Here is an 18,850-nt window from a genome sequence, read left to right as displayed (position 1 = left end):
ATTAATTGAGGAATGTCTCTTTTATCCGATAATCCATCTTTCTTGTAGGGATGTCATGCTATGTTAACCATTTCCATAGCTCTCTAGGTCAAGTCCCCTTGCAACTTCAATCTTACAGTAAGTGCACCCACTTTGTTTTGATGGTTTAGTGCTATTATTTTAGAATTCTATATTCCAGTTACTGTCAGAGTGCCCAATCTGTAAGGTGTTTCCTAGCATCAGGTCTAACCTACGAGGGAGAGCCACCTCTGAACTTCCCAACAATGTTGGTGCTCTTCTCACCAGCACATTTCTTATTGCTTTGGTAAATGGAGTGTCCTTTGGGCCTCTGGCAGATCATAGTCAGCTGATGGGCTTTTCAGCTGTACCTAATATAGCAGCTTTAGCCTGCCTAGTTCTGAGATTTGGTTTGCTTCTTCCTCTGTCACAGCAATTCAGGCATTTTTACTTTACTTAACATGGTTCATTTTTTTTTTGTTCAAATTTTCAAGAGGCACCCTGGTGTTATCATCTTCTAGGGTTCTTGATAATGTGTTAAATCCTCTAGTATAGATTAGTGCTCCCACAATGGGAAATTCTCCTTTATCCAACTCTAAGTTCTGCCCTTTTTCATCCTTCACCCTCAGGATCCAGTCCCCCACTCTCTCCCATTCCTGCTAGTACATAGTGATTAGGTCCTGCAGCTAGTTCTTTTGAGATGTAGTTTTTTTCACTCTTAGCAGCCTCTTCACCTTCCCTGATCAGGCACATTGCTCTGCAAAGATTATTAGATCATTTGAGATACTACTGGGAAGAGTAGATGTAGTAAAACCCCAAAGTGAAGTCAAAACTATTTCTAGAGAGCAGACTCTTTTCTCCCTCTAAGGCATATATTACATGCTAATGTCACCTTGACATAAATTCATGAAGCAAGGAGGGGCACAATCTGAGTAATTCTGGGAAATTTTAAAGTCTCCTTCTCAGTTGTCTGGGAACTAGTATAGCAAAATAGTCTATGTTTACACAAAAAGGAAGTGTAGATAATTCTACCAGCAGAAGAGCATTTTCTGCAATCAACGAGCTAAGGCTAAAGAGTAAAGACAATTATTTCCTGTAATGTCACACCATCGGCAAGATTATATGTTAGGTGGCTTAACTGATTTGTCATTGGTAACTCTGTTAACATCAATCCTATCTTTCAAAAATATTTAAACTATTTTAACTAGTCTTTTTTTCAAAAAAAACCCTGCTTTGTGAATATTATTAGCATTAAAATGATAATTTTTATTGGTAAGTTTATTATGAGTTAATCAGAGGTGGAAATTAATTTTCATGGATCAGCATTGTCATAATGATAGCTAGTTGCCTTACTAAGGTAATACTTTCATAAAAGAAACCTTCCTGGTGTTCTAGGACAAAGATATAAACCCAACAGGTAAAGGTTCATATATGATTTTGGCCTTATTGAATATAGCACTAACTATCTGAAAAAAATATTTTTGTCCTAATATCAGGATAGTCATAGCAATATGAAATATAAATATTATAGCTAAAAATAGTTAATGTAAATTAAAATGTACATCAGTTGCCATTGTTATAGGTGTCTATCTCAATTCCAAGGTCTTGGGTTAAGTTGTCTGTTTCCACGAAGGCATCTGCTTCTGAAATGAAGATATCGTGGAAGCTATGCCTTAGTTGTTTCATACAGCATGACACATTTGTGGTAAGAGTTGTTAAGTTGTACTGAGAATCTTGTGCCTTAAATTTTTGATGTTTTTCCCCAGAAGACTGAATGATCTATAGCTTGCAGCAGGAGCCTTCAGATAAATGAATGGAAAAAGCAAAACCTTTCTCAGGATGATGGGGGTGATTGGCTTTGATTAATAATATATTGTGATTACCAACAATATTAGAATGGAGGAATTTAGAATACAGAGGGGTAAAAAAATGTCAATCTATGGACATAAATCCTTGATTCCTCTGGAACGGGAAAATATTATAGACAGTAAGGGCACTGAAAAACTTTCAGAGTCTTTTATTAATGCCATAAAAGATATTGTAATTAAATCCAAGAGACATGCATTTAGATTTTTCAAAGATGATTCTAATAAAGTAACTATCTAGATTCAGCTAATTTGCAACACTGTCAGAAATTATAAAGATCTTGTTTACTATAATCCAATATAGATGAATATATATGTTTACATTTTGAAGATCTTGAATATTTATAACAATTTTAAGACTAGTAAAATTTGTATAGAAAATTTAGGAAATTTAGAAAACTTAGGTTTTCTATGGGTAAATAAACCCTAGTTTTGCAAAGTCTAGAATATTATGCTACCATTTTTACACTGTGAGAAAACTATGGAAAAGGCATATTATCAAACCAGCCTAATTTTCAAGGTTTCACATTAGTCACATTACCAGGCAAGGGTACACATATCAGCAGAAAACTAGGCTGAATAATTTGTTGAAGGAAAAAGCCAATAATTTGTGTATGTATTAGGGAGTTGGGTTATGGTGGGTTTTGCTGGTTAAAAACTGAAGGCTACACTCTGGATAAGACAGATATAGTCCGTAAGTCAGTAGATAGTTGGTTAAAACAAATGCCACTTTTTATCACTGAAAAAAGTTTTCAGTTAGGTTGGTGTGGGTCTGTACCTGGGTCACGTGAAGGTCTCAGTTGCTTATCTGCTTCCACTGGTGGAATGCCCAAACATCACAGTTGTTTGTCAACTTCGGAGGGTTGGAAGCAATTATGTTGAAACACCACAACCAGTTTGAGGTCTTCAAGCAAAGTGAAAATGGAAAAATTGTCTTGACACTAGTGTGTACCAAATCACTATGTTATTGCTATCCCATAGAATACCTTTATATGTGGTCCAACAGTTTGATTTTAAAATTTTCATCTTATTTTGCTAGAAACTTAACTTTGCCATTAATTAAATGTATGATAAACATTTTAGAGATGAAATATAAAATACATAAAAGTACTTTTTTTTTTTCAAAAATCATAGGAAGTATTTGTGTAGAAATGTTTGGAGTTCTGTGTTTTAAGATAAATATTAACGAAAGCAAATTGAGTCAGTCTTATTTTATAATTCCATGGGTTTGTCCTTTGTAATACTTTGTGAGCCTTGGACACGCTAGTGGATATGGAGAGGTTTATTTTGTTGTTTAAAGTTTTGGAGGTAGGAGGAATATCAACTCTTGTGTTGGATCAAATCAGATCAAATAGGGAATCAGCCTATGGTCAGAATATTCTCTCACCCCAAACAAAGTTAAATACAGAAATAATGAAATAAATTCAGCTTATCTTAAGTCAAGCCCTTTTTTTTTCTGGTTTCAGCCAAGGCTGTAAAACTGAGTGCCCTCTGGTACCTGCCCTAGATGACAGAAGAAGTCAGAAGGCAACAAAACTTTAGTACTCAGAATAAATCTGGTTTAAACTTTATTCCAAAGGCTCAATTTGATTGAAAAATCCCAAAGAACAAAAAAAGACCTTATTCCTCAATGTTCTTGGTATTTTTAATCCTGAAGTCAGTTGGATCCAAAGCATCTGGCCTCCCATCCCTATTTTCCTCTTTGACGGTACTGAACTAAACAGCTCTTAAAAATCACAGAGTCGGTTGAACTTCAGTCAGGGCATCTGTCAGTACCATATTAGCAGATTTGGGCCAACATTTAAAAATGAGTAATTGGGAATCTGGTTCATTTTGGCATGCTGAGAGCCTGGCCAGAGTCTTCCTATAGCAGGTGGTTTAATGGGAACTTGGTCCATGAAGGCTCTGATGTGCTCTATTTATGTCTCTGTGTTAGATGATAAGCCCGAAGCTATGGTTGCTGTGAGTCTGCCAGACAAGAATCTAAAACAAAGCACAGAGTTGATTACCACCAGGCTCATTGCCAAGGGCCCTGCCACAATACTGCATAAGTGTAGTGCCCAGTGCCCCAATTGTGATTGGCCTTATTGTTTGTTTCTAGTATCGGTCTGGCTGTTAGTACCACAGTGTATTGTATCTATTCTCTCCCAAAAACCAGAGGGCTAATACTTAGTAGCGAGGTGGGGCTAGATACACTCACCCTATATCATTGAGTAGAGCATCACTTAGTCACATATTAGACACCAGAAAGCTTTCTCGGCGAGATGGTGGAAGAGATTCTTGTTCATAGATCTTGGCAATAAAAGCACTCCTTAGCTTTATATAAACACACATTAAATACATAAGTAGGTAAAGTGTTATAAAGAGTTTTAAATGCATGGCCTCATTTGATGCTTATAACCACTTAGTGTTATAGGAGAGGTTTGTATTATTATTCCCATTTTCTCATGAAAGAGGAAGTTAGAAGAGTTAAGTGATTTGCCTAAGATCACTCAGCCAACAAGAAGATCCAAGAATGGTTCTGAGCTTTGCCGTCTCTCCTCAGCTTTTGTTTCATGCACAGCCATCTGATATCTAAGTGGAGAGAATGGTGGCCTGGTGATTGCATTTAAGACTTAATAATGATACATTTAAAACTGTAACATTTAGCAGACCTCTAGTTGTGGCTACTACTGCTGTCTTGCCACAAATTCTACTGTATTGATTTTTATCCATGCCGCATTTTAATATTGTGGACTTAAAAATGAACATCGGAATCCTACCATCTTTGCAGTGGCTGTAGGGGTTAGTTTTTTTGCCTGGAAGGATGCTGTGAGGAAACATTTTCAGGTGGCTTGGGTAAGGCTTATAATGTCTGGATAGCGTGAAGTTTGTAATTAGATCATGACAGAATAGCAGCAACTTTTTGTTCAATTAATCAGAAAATATCATGGCATGCCTATGATGTTCAAAGAACTATGCCAGTTTGCTAAGAACTAGACAAGGACTGACTGCCTTCAAAGAACTTACAGTTCCATTGAGAGATAATACATGTGCACACAAAATAACCAGCCACATAGGGCAGCTATTTATAATGGCAAGGGTAGGTACGAGGCAAGGCAAGCCTGTACAAGGAGAGGTCACAGTGAGTTGAGGTTATTTTGGAAGACTCTTGTAGATTTTTTAGTGGAAGCAAAATTTAGATACTGTATATGAAATGGGGGTAGGTTTCTAGATGGTATGTTGGGAGTGAAGAAACAGCCAAAAATAAATAAATAAATAGAACTATAAAAGAATAAAACATATTGTGGATATGAGTAGACCTGTCTCACTGCGGACAGGAATTTATAATGCAAAGGAGTGGAAGATAGATGTCAGAAAATTGGTGGGAAGATTATGGATGGCCCTGAATACCTGCATGAAGAGCTTGTTCTGTTAATCTGTAAGGAAAGAAGTGTCATTCAAGTATTTTGAATGGGAGGCAGAAACTTAGAAAGCATCATTTCACCGGGTGGCAGTGCCCAGGATAGAGTGAGGAATAAAGGGAGAAACAGACTATCAGTGGAGGGACAAGTTAGAAAATGGAGCAAAAATCCGGATGGGAGGTGACCCTCAGCAGAGCGTGATACCGGACTGGACAGAGGCACTCGGGTCTCACCCCGGCTTCTGCTGCTCTTTTCCTTCCCACACAGTAGCCACAAGGTGTCGCTGTAGCCTTTTTTTGCTCCCTGAAAAATGGCTTGGGGGATGATGAGGAGCTTTTCAAATGGCTGCAATGTGAAGTCATTTCTGCAGTTTTGGTGCCATCTTATTTCATATTGAACAGTTTAGCATCATCTTGGAAAATACCTGCATACCTCACCCTTTGGCCCACTAGACTCTGTGTCCTCTTGTAAGCTGTTCTGTTTAGGCGGTTGCAACTCTCAGGTGTTGGGGACTGTGGGGGTTGTTGCTGGCCCTGTAGTAGTAAACACATGGACATCAAAATTCAGCACTTAAGTCCGTGTGTGTGTGTGTGTGTGTGTGTGTGTGTGTGTGTGTGTGTCAGAAGCACTTTTTTTCTTCTTGGGAAAAGATACTGTCATTGACAGAGGAAGAAATAGCAGGAGTCCTTATCTGGGAGGAGAGGAACATATCAGGGGTCCTCAAGACCACCCCAGGTTCAGTGATTCACTAGGAGGACACACAGGACTCAGTGTATAGTGCTAATATCTATAGTTTATTACAACACAAGGATGCAAAGTAAAATCAACAAAGGGAAGGGCTCATGGCACAAAGTCTGGAGGAGGCCAGGCACAAGCTTCCAAGAGTCCTCTCCCAGGAGAGTCACACAGGATGTGCCTAATTCCTCCAGCAAAGTACTGTGAAACACATGTGGAAGGAATACTGGACTCAGTGTCCAGGGTTTTTATTGAGGCCTTTTCACATAAGCACTTTTCACATAATCACATAAGAGTTGCAACTGCCTAAACAGAACAGCTTACAAGAGGACACAGAGTCTAGTGGGCCGAAGGGTTAGGTATGCAGGTCTCTGCATTGCACATAATAAAATTCCAGACTTCCAGAAGGACAAAATGTACATTGGTGCAAAAAGTTTCTTTTCTGTCTTTTTTTTTTTTTTTTTAATTTTAATATAGAGATAAGGTCTTACTGTGTTGCCTAGGCTGGTCACAAACTCCAGGGCTCAAGCAATCTGCCTACCTCAGCATCCCAAAGTCCTGGAATTACAGGCATGAGCCACCATGCCCAGTCTGTGCAAACAGTTTAGGCCCAATGAGACTCTCTTAACTGTGCTGTCAATTGGAGAAACCCTCCTGCAATCCGAGTTCCCAGATGCCAACCAAGGGCCAACCTTGCAAGCAGCCTTTCTTTATTTTTTTTTAAATTTTTTATTTTATTATTTTTTTTGAGATGGAGTCTTGCTCTATCCCTCAGGCTAGGGGGCAGTAGCACGATTTTGGCTCACTGCCACTTCCGACTCTTGGATTCAAGAAATTCTCCTGACTCAGCCTCCCGAGTAGCTGGGATTACAGGCGCCTGCCACCAAGCCCAGCTGACTTCTCTATTTTTAGTACAGACGGGGTTTCCCCATGTTGGTCAGGCTGCTCTTGAACTCCTGACCTCAGGCAATCTGCCTGCCTCAGCCTCCCAAAGTGCTGGGATTACAGGCGTGAGCCACCACACCCAGCTGCAAGCAGCCTTTTTAAGGAGTCTGATTTGCTATGTTAACTCTTTTCTGCACAGGGAGTGAAAATACCGCTTAGGTTTTTGAGAAGGAGGTATTGATGGATACATTTTTCAAAACCCAGGAGAGTCTGACGTTAAGGTCATGTCTCTGGAAGTGGTAGTTCAGGTTGGAGCAAAAGTAGTGAAACCAGTCCTGGTTGTCTGTCCACATACAGAAGACTGGAGAGGTAGAAGAGAACTGGGATGGTGTGTTAGGAAATCAAGAGAGGAGAGAAGGCCGGGCGAGATGGCTCACGCCTATAATCCTAGCACTTTGGGAGGCCGAGGTGAGCAGATCATGAGGTCAGGAGATTGAGACCATCCTGGCTAACACGGTGAAACCCTGTCTCTACTAAAAAAATACAAAAAATTAGCCAGGCGTGGTGGCAGGCGCCTGTAGTCCCAGCTACTCGGGAGGCTCAGGCAGGAGAATGGTGTGAACCCGGGAGGCGGAGCTTGCAGTGAGACGAGATTGGGTCACTGCACTCCAGCCTGGGCTACAGACCAAGATCCCGTCTCAAAAAAAAAACAAAAACAAAAACGAGAGAGGTTCAAAAGGAGGAAATGCTCGGTAGTATATAAAGTACTGCAGATGGGCAGGGATTATGGGCGCTGAAAAATGCCATTGGGACATAATTTAATAATGTGGTAATTGATTTTCAACTTAAAATTATCTGTACACATTAAGCCAGACTTACTTAGCCAGTGCCTTGAATAGCTTTCCTGCCTATCACATCTTTCTGTTTTCTTTTGATCACCTTACAAAAGCTCTGTTTTAACATTTTTTATTGTGGCTTTGAATTTTTTGTTTGGGTTTAGATTTCACAGGCAGAGGGAAATGGATGAGCTTTGGGAAGGCTAAAAAAATTCTTTGTGCAATACTACATACTTCTCTCTGGCCATTATTTAGGGACAGCAGCAGCCGAAAATCACCTCTTCTGTTCTGGATGGAAAAGTAATTCAGTTTGTTCCTTTAAGAGGATTAGGTTTACCATTTCATTGATTTCATCGTTGCTTCCTGGTAAAGAATAAAAATTAAAAGCTGCTTGTTTTGAGTGGAGACATCTCAAGGGGCTTATGAAAGTGTCTGAATTTACTACTACACCGTTGGACTTCTCCCAGACCCGGAGTTCCAGTTATTGTCTCTCTGATATTTCATTTCTTTTTTTTTTTCTGGGTTCTCGGATGCTAAAGTTGTATAGACCCTCTGAGATGAATGATTATTGTTAGACAAGACCATGTGAACCAATAATGGCTTTTCCTTTGGTTATAATAAAAACATATCAGAACAACATTTATTTTTTCAAAAAGCTCTTTTTGTGTGGCTGACTTTGAGTAGTAGGTGGTCTAGGAAATACCAGCACCTCCTCTCTCTCTCACTTGAAATGCTTCAGGATTAGAAAATCATTGCAGGCAGAAAGTGGAGAGTGTGGTGCTCAATGTGGCCTTTGCAATTCTACTTACCTCCAGTGGTGGGTGACAGTCCTGGCCTTCTGGCCTTATTCACGTCATTGCACTTCAGGAGGGCAAATGTGCGCTGTAACTGAGGTGGTTTTAAATTATCTGTCTCTTGTTCTAATATCCCAGGGCTTCCAGCAAAAGTTCTCCTTCCACAGTAAAGAGATTGTGGCTATCAGCTGTTCCTGGTGCAAGCAGGCGGTAAGATTGGGATGAAATAAAGCAATGTGGGCTCATGTTTTGTCGAAATACACTTGTGTCATTATTTGAGTTTCTCCCTGGAAGTAGAAGGCATTCCTAATTTAATGTATTGCTTTTCTCATATAGGATCCTTGGAGGAAGAAAGACAGACTGAAACTATAGAACAATAGCATAGATGAGCTGGGATACACTAGAGAGATAAATTAACTTCTATATTTTATGTACATTAAAGCTTGGGGTCAAAGACTAGAAAATCCTCCCCTAATTCTAACACTGGGTCTAGAGTTGAGGACTTCTCACACCTAGACCACATTTTCCCTCCAGTACCTCTGTATTGTTGAGAACTCCTCTGGTATGAAGGTACAACATTAGAAGCAAAGCAACGTATGACCTAAGAGGTCCCTCCAACACAGGTGGACAGGAATCCTGGCTCTTCTGGTTTTAATGTTTAATGTGCATGACTTTTTATTTTGGGGCTAAGTGTGAGGATAAGAAGAGTGGTTCTTGTATGCTTTTTTAGGTTTGGATGTTGTCTGTACACTCATTGAAATGTAGCTCTTTCTTACATTTGAACATATATATACTCATTAGGATCTGATGGTAATGTCCCTATTTATTTTTCTTTAATCTACCTTTTTTCCCACTTTATTTAGAGCGTAATTCCTCGGTCTGTACCAGATGCTACATTTTCTTATTTGTTTGTACATGTGTACCTGTGTACCTGTTCTTTCTTTTACCACATAACATATAGTCTAACCCAGGTGTTGGCAGACTACAGCTCGTAGGCCAAGTCTGGCTGCCATCTATTTTTGTAAATAAAATTTCACTGGAATGCAGCCATGCCCAGTTATTTATATATTGTCTGTGGCTGTTTTTTTTCATTTATGTATTGTCTATAGACACTTTCATGCTACAATGGCAAGGATGAGTAATTGCAACAGAGGTGGATGATCCCATAAGCCTAAAATATTTATTCCCTGTGCCTTTATAGAAAAAGTTTGCTGATGCCTGCTGTAATTTCTCAATGTCCCTATTCTTTTGAATAAGTTGGAATATATAACCCCTTCATTGCACAGGGGACCTGCAAAGAAAAGGCTGTGGTGTCTTGGTGAGGTTAAAGGTTTGCAGAAAACTCCTGCCACTACACACATCACGCTAAACTAGCCACACAGGCCATGGGGCTGGAACAGATGCATTTAGTTGAAACATATGAAATGGACATTTTGTGGGTCAAAACCATTTATATTTTGGCAGTTCCATATAGTTCAACTTAATAATATCTCTAGCCTCCTACATGTCAGAAGAACCTGCTGTCACTAGATAGAGACTCGGTGGTCTGGAAAGCTCAGTGTCGCTGCATCACAATCCTGTGACATTTTTTATTCCTGGCATTTTCATTTACTTTCAGTTAGTTGTTACACAAATAATCATTTCACTTCTGTTCAAGAATGTGTGCACAAATATAAGGCCATCCTAGTTATTGAATGAAACTCTGTACCAGCAAGGCAATATCTCCATTTGTGGTCCTGGGGTCCCCAGTGCTGCTATCTTTGCTCCTGGTTCTTCTAATCTGGTGAGACCCCACTGGTGGGGCAGCCTTCTGGGCAGCGGTGTGCTCAGATCGGCTGCATCTGCTCCTGCCCTGTGCAGCTACCAGGCTGTGGTGCGATGGTCTATCCAGATTCAATTAATTTGGAAACTCAATCCCACTTTACAATGAACATGTGTGCTCTCTTTCTATTAATCTGTAGTCCAACTGAATCACTACAAAGGACAACTTTCACCTGACCATTGTGGTAGAGCTTTGGTCAGTTCCACTTATCTTTGAATTTCCCAGTTTCCCACCTTGTAGAAGGTGATTTTTGTAAGGATAATAGGTACAAAAGATTTGAACACAAATTACAGCGGTTGATATGTTTTCACAGTCCAGGTGAACCCCTTCTAGGATATTTGATGTCAGACAAGCAAATAAATATGTGACCCTTTATGGTACAGGAGAAAGAATATGGGGTTTGGGACCTGGATTTCCAGGGTTGGGGTTTTGATTCCATCATTTAAAAACTGTGCAATCTTGGATGTACCTCTGAGTCTCTAGAGTGGAGATTACTTAAGTATTCATTGAGAGACTTGACATAGGCAGTCTCTGCGATCCCTAATGTTTTAGAAATGCAGTGGTCATACATTTGAGGGTTTATTTGAATTGCCAAGAAAAAAAAGCAATTTTTAAAGAAGGTATTCAAATGTTAATAATATTTATCTGGTATATTTGTTTGCAGATCACCAATAACTGGTGGCAGGCAGAATTATTAATTATTTTACCAGTATTTTATATACAATTGCTTGATTAATGATTAGCCACTGGATCACAGCAGATCTTGAAGACATGTAGAAATGAAAACAAAAACCTCTCTAATGTTATGTAATGTAATTAGGGTGGACATATTTGCCAGTTTTTTTGGAGACGGTCCTAATTTGTGTTTGTGTTTTCAACATAATTATTATCAGTGATACTTTTTACTTTTAACATTGTTCCAGTTAAAATGATAAATAATATAGTTACGTGAAGTATAATCTAAGAAGAAACTGAGGTTGAATTTTTAAAATCACTGTGATTAAAATTTAAGGCCTATAATTATTGCATAATGTTGATTTTAGTTTTCTTTTTCAGAAAAATAAATGTTATTACACATCACTATCACTTTATAGTCACACAAAAGATGGTTGAAAACTTGACTGGCCTAAGGTCACCAGTCTGAGTGTCACTGTTGGGGTATACAGTTAAGACCCTAATACTGTGGTATTGTTATGATCGTTAGCCTACATTTACTTCCTTTCAAAAGCAAAAATCACTTTAGACTTGCCAAGAGTAATAGGGTCATTGAATTTTTTTTTTAGCAGTCCAGACAAACCCAACAGAAGCAATCTCTTTGTACTTTGTTACTTCTGGGATTTTCAACTCTGTAGAAGAGACATCATGCTTCTTTTCTGCCTTCTCTAAACCGGAAAGACAACCTGGGAGGATTTATATCTATGATAGGAAAAGGAAAGGCAGGTGGTAGGCATTGCCTTTCTGCCTGTTCATTTCCTTCTTAACGTTATCTTAGATCAACCAAGTCCATGGCCAGCACAGGTCAAGGGAAGTGTATGTGAACATTTTGTGCAAAATCAGGATTAATAGAACCCTCCAAGACTCTAAAACTTTTAAGTAAATATTCCATGCAACGATTAGAAAGTTTTAGCAGGCTTCATCCTGCTAGACTGATTTCTTGTTATCAATGTTATAAGTTTGTAAACCGGAATAAATCTGAAGTCTGGTCTCTAAGCTCCTGGGGCTGGCTGGGTGGTGATGAGGAAAGCATGTCCTCAGTCCTCAGTGTGTGCCCATGTGTGCATGTGTGCATGCATATGTATTTTTGTGCATGTAATGAGTGTGTGTGTGTGTGTGTGTGTGTGTGTGTGTGTGCGTGTGTACATATTTATCCCTTCTTGCTGCAGCATTACTCTTTGACCAGAATTGTTTACTGGCTTATTTTTCTCTTCAGTTTCACAATAAGGTGACCTGCTTCATGCTGCATCACATTGAAGAACCCTGCTCCCTGGGGGCTCATGCTGCTGTTATTGTCCCGCCCACTTGGATCATTAAGGTGAAGAAACCTCAGGTAACTGCCAGGACTCTGGTGCTGCTGGGCCAGTGCAGAGAAAAATGAACTGCTGCTTCGTGCTTTTCTCCCCAGACTAGTCTTTGGGTTCCTATGACCTCAGTTCACTCATCCCCAAGGCCCTGTGCTTAGCTTCCTCAGTTCATCCCATTGGCCCATCTCTTTCCCACTTTGGGCTCTCTCATGGAACCAGCCTCCCCATCCTAATGAATTCAAAGTTCTAGAGCAGGAATGTTGCCTCCTCATTCATGTGCTAATGATATTCTCTTTGATAGGTGCTCTTCCAAGTTTCATTGAGTACTAGTGGTGGGTATAGCTGATGCTTATACAACTCTGTTCTCTTCCAGCCTGGGCATTCCCAGAGGGTCAGTGTGAGGGCAAACTGTTCAGGCTTCATGGTTTGGTTAAGATTCCTGCCACTTCCAACCTGGAAGGCAGACCATGAATCATGACCTTCCTGAATACACAGGCCTGCTTAGAGAGTGACATTTGTTTTTTTCTTAAGGCAAAGTAGAATTTATTCTCTTAATATCTAATCTCATTCTGTGTTCTCCCCAGTGCACTTCCTGTCCTTGTGAGTATCCACCTCAGTATTCAGGGAAACCTTAGTGGTTTCTTGACAAGGTCGTAATCTTTGAAATAAAATGTTTCTGCCTTTGTACTATACATCCTTGACAGTTAGCTTCAAGTTATGGGATGGCAGATTTTTAATGCTATGGGAAGAGAGACTATACCTCCCTTAGGGTGCAGGTACTGTAGGAAGACTTATCAAATGCAATACCTTTAAATGATATGGTGGTCCTACTTCCTGTGGTCTCCAGACTCATCATGTGATTCATTCTCATTGACTCAGGTTTATTTAAAAACTGGTGGATCAGGGATACTGTTTTGCTTTCTGTGTTTTATATAAAGTTTAGACTCTGTTGATGAGTAATGTTTACGAATAAAATTATAGTCTATGGAAGCCCTTGGGATATTTTTTTCCAGAGGCAAGTATAGTGTCTACATATTAAAAAATGAGGAGCCTAGTGCTTCATTTTATATTTTAGAACCAAATGCCAAGATATGTTAAATGAGTTACCCAAGGTGATAAAACAAATTATATATAGTATTACTATTTGAAATTCAAGTGTACTGAATTCCAGTTTTTATTTTTAAATCTCTTTAACATTTCTACTTTAAAATTTTTTTTTTCTAAAATTTGGTAATCTCTCCAAGGCTTTACATTAAACATTCATTCAGTTAAATCCACATCTTTCCATTGAAAACCTCGATTGTATCAGGAAGGCTAATAGGCATTGCGATAAAATACGTGATCCTTACTCTTAAGAGTCTTGTTATGAAGTGGGGGGGAGGGCTTCATGAAGAAGATGGGATTTGTTCTGCTTTGTAAAAATGGGTGAGATTTAGGTCTGTGGAGTAGAGAGAGAGTAGCAGGCAGGAGAATGGCACACAGGCATGAGTACTGTGTCCAAAATTATATCCGTGGAACTGTGAGTCTAGTTTGACCAAAGTGCAGGGTTTATGCAGAGGGTGTGTGGGAGATGAACATACAATTGCTCAGGCCTGACTGTGGAGGAATTTTTTTTTTTTTTAATAACCGTGAACTTTATCCTGAAGTAGCAGCAGAGTTCCTTTTAAGCAAAGGAATGATAGAGTAAAAAAAAAAAAATATATATATATATATATATATATAGTATTTTAGAAAGAAACAAGTAGCAAGAGTGTGTAAAATAGCCTAGTGGTATGGGAATTTGGAAGTCCGCAGACACACTAGTTAGGAAAATCAGGGGATAATACCAGTTTGTAGGGAAATTGCAAAGTTTACTCTTCTAAACCTTAAGAAACCCTTTTTGTTATGGAAATTTTCAAGCAAATGAAGAAAAAGGTTATAATGAATCCTCTAGCCATCAACTTTTCTGCCATTCTTTTTCATGTGTCTCCTGCTACTTCATATTTTCATTTTATGAATTACCTTTTTCTTTTGAGATTCACATGCAGCTGTGAGAAGCAATACAGAGAAATCACTTGCACCCTTCCAAAATTTCTTCTCATGGTAACATCTTGCGGTATTACAGTACAAAATCACAACCAGGATATTGACCTTGATTCAGTCAAGATACAGAACATTCCATCCCCAGGAGCATCCCTGGTGGTCCCTTGTCAGGAGTCATATCCATTTCCTCCTGGCCTCACCCCATCTACCCCATCTTCCTGGAAGTGGAATCCCCCTACTTTTTCTTTAACTAGAGTATTTTAAAACAAACATTAGACAGCATACCACTTAGTCTGTAAACACTTCATTATGCTTCTGTAAAAGATAGCATTAAAAAAATCCAAATGCCATTATCTCAGTCATGTTAATAATCCCTTAAAATTTTTTCCTGTTGTCTAAAATATATCTTTTTTTACTGTTTTTCAAGTCAGGATCCAAAGTTCACAACTGCCTTTTGTTGACGTAGTTCTTAAGCTTCCCTTAGTATAGAACAATACCCCCTGTTATTTGTCAGGCCACTTACCCGTTGATGAAATTGGGTCACTTTACCCATAGGATTTCCCATATTTTGATTTTGGCTGATTCTTACCATGTTTCCAAATTATTTCTCTTATTGCCCATATTTCTTGTAAACTAATATTTAGACCCAGAGACTCAATTATATTTAGGTTTAATTTTTTTTTTTTTTTTTTTTTTTTTTTTTGGTAAAAGGGATACACTGGCAGTACATTGCCATCACAGGAAGAGGATATCAGCCATTTCACTCTCAGTGATGCTAAGATCAATCAGTGGGTTCAGGAACTGTCATCCTAATCTGTCTATCATAAAGTTCACCATCAGCTTGTCATCTATTGTTATCTATCAAAGAGTTTTGCCAAAGTCTATTATTGCATTAGGGGTTGCCAAGGAGTCGTTTTCCAATTTTCACTCTTTTTAGCTATGATTTTTAGAAAAGAGACCTTTCCTTCATCCCAACAAATACATGACAAACGTTTGAGTATTTGCCTTTATTTGTAAGTTTTCAGAATAATAAGCTGATGCCTTAGCAACCCTTATAGGATGTAGTAGTGGTTGTTTTTTTGGAGAGTATCATTACGAAATTACTTAATTATGTTTTTATGTATTATGTGTTTTTCCAATACGTTGTCATCATTCTTCTTCCTATGTTTATATTGTTTCATCTCCAACCATTGGAACCTCTTCCACATGGTGTCTGTCTTCACATTTGTTATGAGCCATGAGGTTTTGAGAGCTTCCTTGGTTTTAGGAACAATACCATGTCCCAGGATCATTTAATGCATTTCCTGTCCATACCTGGAATCAGAGTCTTGGTTCTTTCTCTAGAGTCTTGGTTACTTTTAATGGGATATGGGATTTATAGCTCATAGTCTGGATGCACAGTCCAAATTCATTATTCAACATGTGCCTTTTTATTACCGTCTATGATTCAGGACAATGTAGTAATAATAATAGTAAGAAGAGCTAACATTTATATGTGTTAGGAAAGTTTTCAGTATTTTACATTCAGTATCTTATTTTATCATCATAGTATCCTATGAGCAGGTATCCTGTTATTCTTACTCTATATCTGAGGATTGTGAGGCACAGAGAAGTCAAATAAATTACCCAGGGTCATATAGTTATTAAATAGTTTGAGATGGGACTTGGACCCAGGAATTTTGATTCCAAAAAACAAGCTCTTATTGGTATGCCACACTGCCTCACTATCTTTCTGTAGCCAGCCTTGCTGAATCAGATGTTTTAAAAATTTTAGTAGTCTTTTCTTTAGTGGGCTTCAAAGCCATCAAGTAAGTTAACCAATGAACCATAGTCTATTTAAAAGCTGAGGTATGGTGAGCTTGTGGGGACAATGCAGCAGTGGTTAAGAGCTTTCTGACTTTTGAGCCAATACCACCTGGGCCCGTAATAACCTTGCTGTAGCCACGTAACTAATTTGTGTAATACCGAACAATTAAACTCTTCTATTGAAACTCTTCGACACCAATGTTAAATTCTATAGACATAAAAAAACCACGAGGAAGAAAACAAGGAGAAAAGTCATTGTGTCTCTGATCTGTTCATAGATGACAGTAAAAACTATAGTTTGTAGTGTGTGGATCATGGGTGGCAAGTTTTAGCCATGATTTGGAGGTCAATATATTAGAGAATTCATTTAAGACATTGGGAAGTGACTAACGGAAAATTTGGAACATAGGTGGAGAATAGCAGAGTAAAATGTTTTTCCAAATTTGAGGATACACACACACACACACACACACACACACACACACACACATACATACATATACACATATATGTATATGTATCTATATTCTATCATACTGCTTCAAAATAAATAATAGAGAAGATGTTCTTAATTGAATTCAGTTCATGTTAATTTAACTACATTCAGAGATGCTATTGTATACAGTAGGAGGTCCAAAGATGAATCCACCGTGATCCATTTCCACAAAGAGTATACTCAATAGTGGGGAATATAGCTAGAACTATCTAAGTCACTGGGCAGAGTGTTTGTGGATTTTGAAAAATTCAGCTGTGTGTAAATCCTTAATAAAAGAGTGCCTCCTACTATCTCGGAAGGTTTGCTTTTTGGTCAGTATGCATCTTTGGGAGAAACACACAAAGGATGGTGAGAGGAAGGGGCCAGACAGGTTGGTTGAATCAGCCATGGTCAGCATCCAAGGTGGCCTATCTATCCAAGGTGGAGAGTGGTCAGTGCTACCTAAGATGTATAAACACAGTGTGAATATGAAGCAGTACGGAGCATTTTCGGTCATGGGGATCAGGGTAAGCTAAATAGAAAATATGCCATTTGTGGTAGGCCTTAAAGGATGTAGGCAGTGTCAGTGAAACACGGGTTGAGAAGGACAGTAAAAGTTGATAGAACTAACTGAGAACAGTTAAGATGGATCTTTAAATAAAGTCAGCTTTATTTGGGATATTTGTGTCTAAACAAGTGACTCTAGAGAGGAGGAGTAAAGGAAATCTATTTGAGGGTATCATGGTCAGGAGACATGGTTTATAAAGAGTTGGAATTAAACCGCATATTTCATTTTTACTCCACGAGCAACTGTGGAATTGGCAGCTCTGTGAAACCTTGATGCTAAAGGGAGTGAGGGCTGCTTGGGTAATTTGCTAGGTTTCATCACCTCATTATTTAGAGAGATGAAGAAGTTATTTTGTAGAAATAAAAAGGTAATGGAAGATAGATGATTTTAAATAACTCAAATGAAAACCCCAAATTTAAGAATCAAGCCTGGATCTGTTGATATATTTGAAGTCCAAGTTATATTTAAAGTTACAAATGTCAGTGTTTCTCTTTCGGACTGAAAATATTACTAGACAATATTTTGATTGGACAGGCAAGTTAAAGATGGTCAAATACCAGTGCATATACTTGGAGCTGAGGGATTGAGACTTACGTGAATTTTCTGTGGGGTCAAGTTGTAGAAGACCACAGTTGGGAAAGCTTTTACAAAACTTATGTATCATGAGATGACATCATTTGAAAAAATATTTTGTACTTGGTCCCCTAAATTTTCCAAACTGTCACTTTTTTGTAACTTTCTCATGAATCTCACTGGGCTGCTCCTATCTTCTAAAAAGAATATAAAATGGATCCTCCATTCTCTTTCCTTAATACAGCCTGTTGTGACTTCATAGTACTGAGTGGGAACAAGCTGGTTTCTTTGAAAGAATGATAGTGCTCAATCTTTTATTGTTTCGTTTGTAGTAACATGAGTAATATATAAATATGCTCCCTGTAAAAATTAAACATCTCAGATAAGAGAGTCTCCTTTCACCAGCATTTAAAATGATAAGCATCTCCGCTGTCTCTTCCTATGATATATGCAGAGTTTTTACTGTGCGTTTACATGCATGGAAATGCACCCACAGAAGAAATACAGAACCACTTCGAGTGTAAGGGTGTGTGTTTTTAATAAATAATTCTTCACATAATGCTTTAAAACTTGCCTTTCTTAGTAAAAAAAGATTCTTGGGGAAAAGTCTGTTATTATATGTAGACTTAACTCATTTTTTAAATTGCTGTATGTATCCCATGCTGTGGATATATCCTAGTTTATTGATCCATCTGCCTACTGGTGGATATTTATATTGTTTCTAATGTTCTACTTATAAACAATGCTGCATTCATTTCTTCATAGCCCTGTATGAGCTTTCTTCATAATAGTCCCCCTTTTTTTGGTTTATCTCTTCTGGTTAGATAATCTTCTTAAAATACTGGGAACCCATGAAATGTAATAGCTAATTTTGTGCAACGACCAATAATATCCTGTAAATTAGCCTCAAAATTGCCTGAACCATTTCCTTTGGTGAATTCTAAAGCTTCATTAGTACTTGTGATTTAGTCAAATAGGCCTGGTTGGAGCTGTTGGGACCCTGTCTGTAACTTTTGGAATAAGTTTTCTTTATCCTTCTGCCTTCCC

At 38.4% G+C, this 18,850-nt stretch overlaps 1 protein-coding gene across 9 annotated transcripts in view; it reads left to right on the top strand.

The window, feature by feature from the left end:
* DGKI (diacylglycerol kinase iota) overlaps window positions 1-18,850 on the top strand; it is a 465,938-nt gene that overhangs the window by 214,766 nt on the left and 232,322 nt on the right. For all 9 annotated transcript variants that reach the window (XM_047421022.1, NM_001321708.2, XM_047421021.1 and 6 more), the window contains 2 exons: window positions 8,655-8,726; window positions 12,269-12,385. In XM_047421022.1, the coding sequence (XP_047276978.1) occupies window positions 8,655-8,726; window positions 12,269-12,385 (189 nt within the window). The remainder of the gene's footprint in view (window positions 1-8,654; window positions 8,727-12,268; window positions 12,386-18,850) is intronic.

Source organism: Homo sapiens, chromosome 7 (assembly GCF_000001405.40).
Source record: "Homo sapiens chromosome 7, GRCh38.p14 Primary Assembly".
Classification (NCBI taxonomy): domain Eukaryota; kingdom Metazoa; phylum Chordata; class Mammalia; order Primates; family Hominidae; genus Homo; species Homo sapiens.
This window is presented reverse-complemented; position numbering and strand designations above follow the sequence as displayed.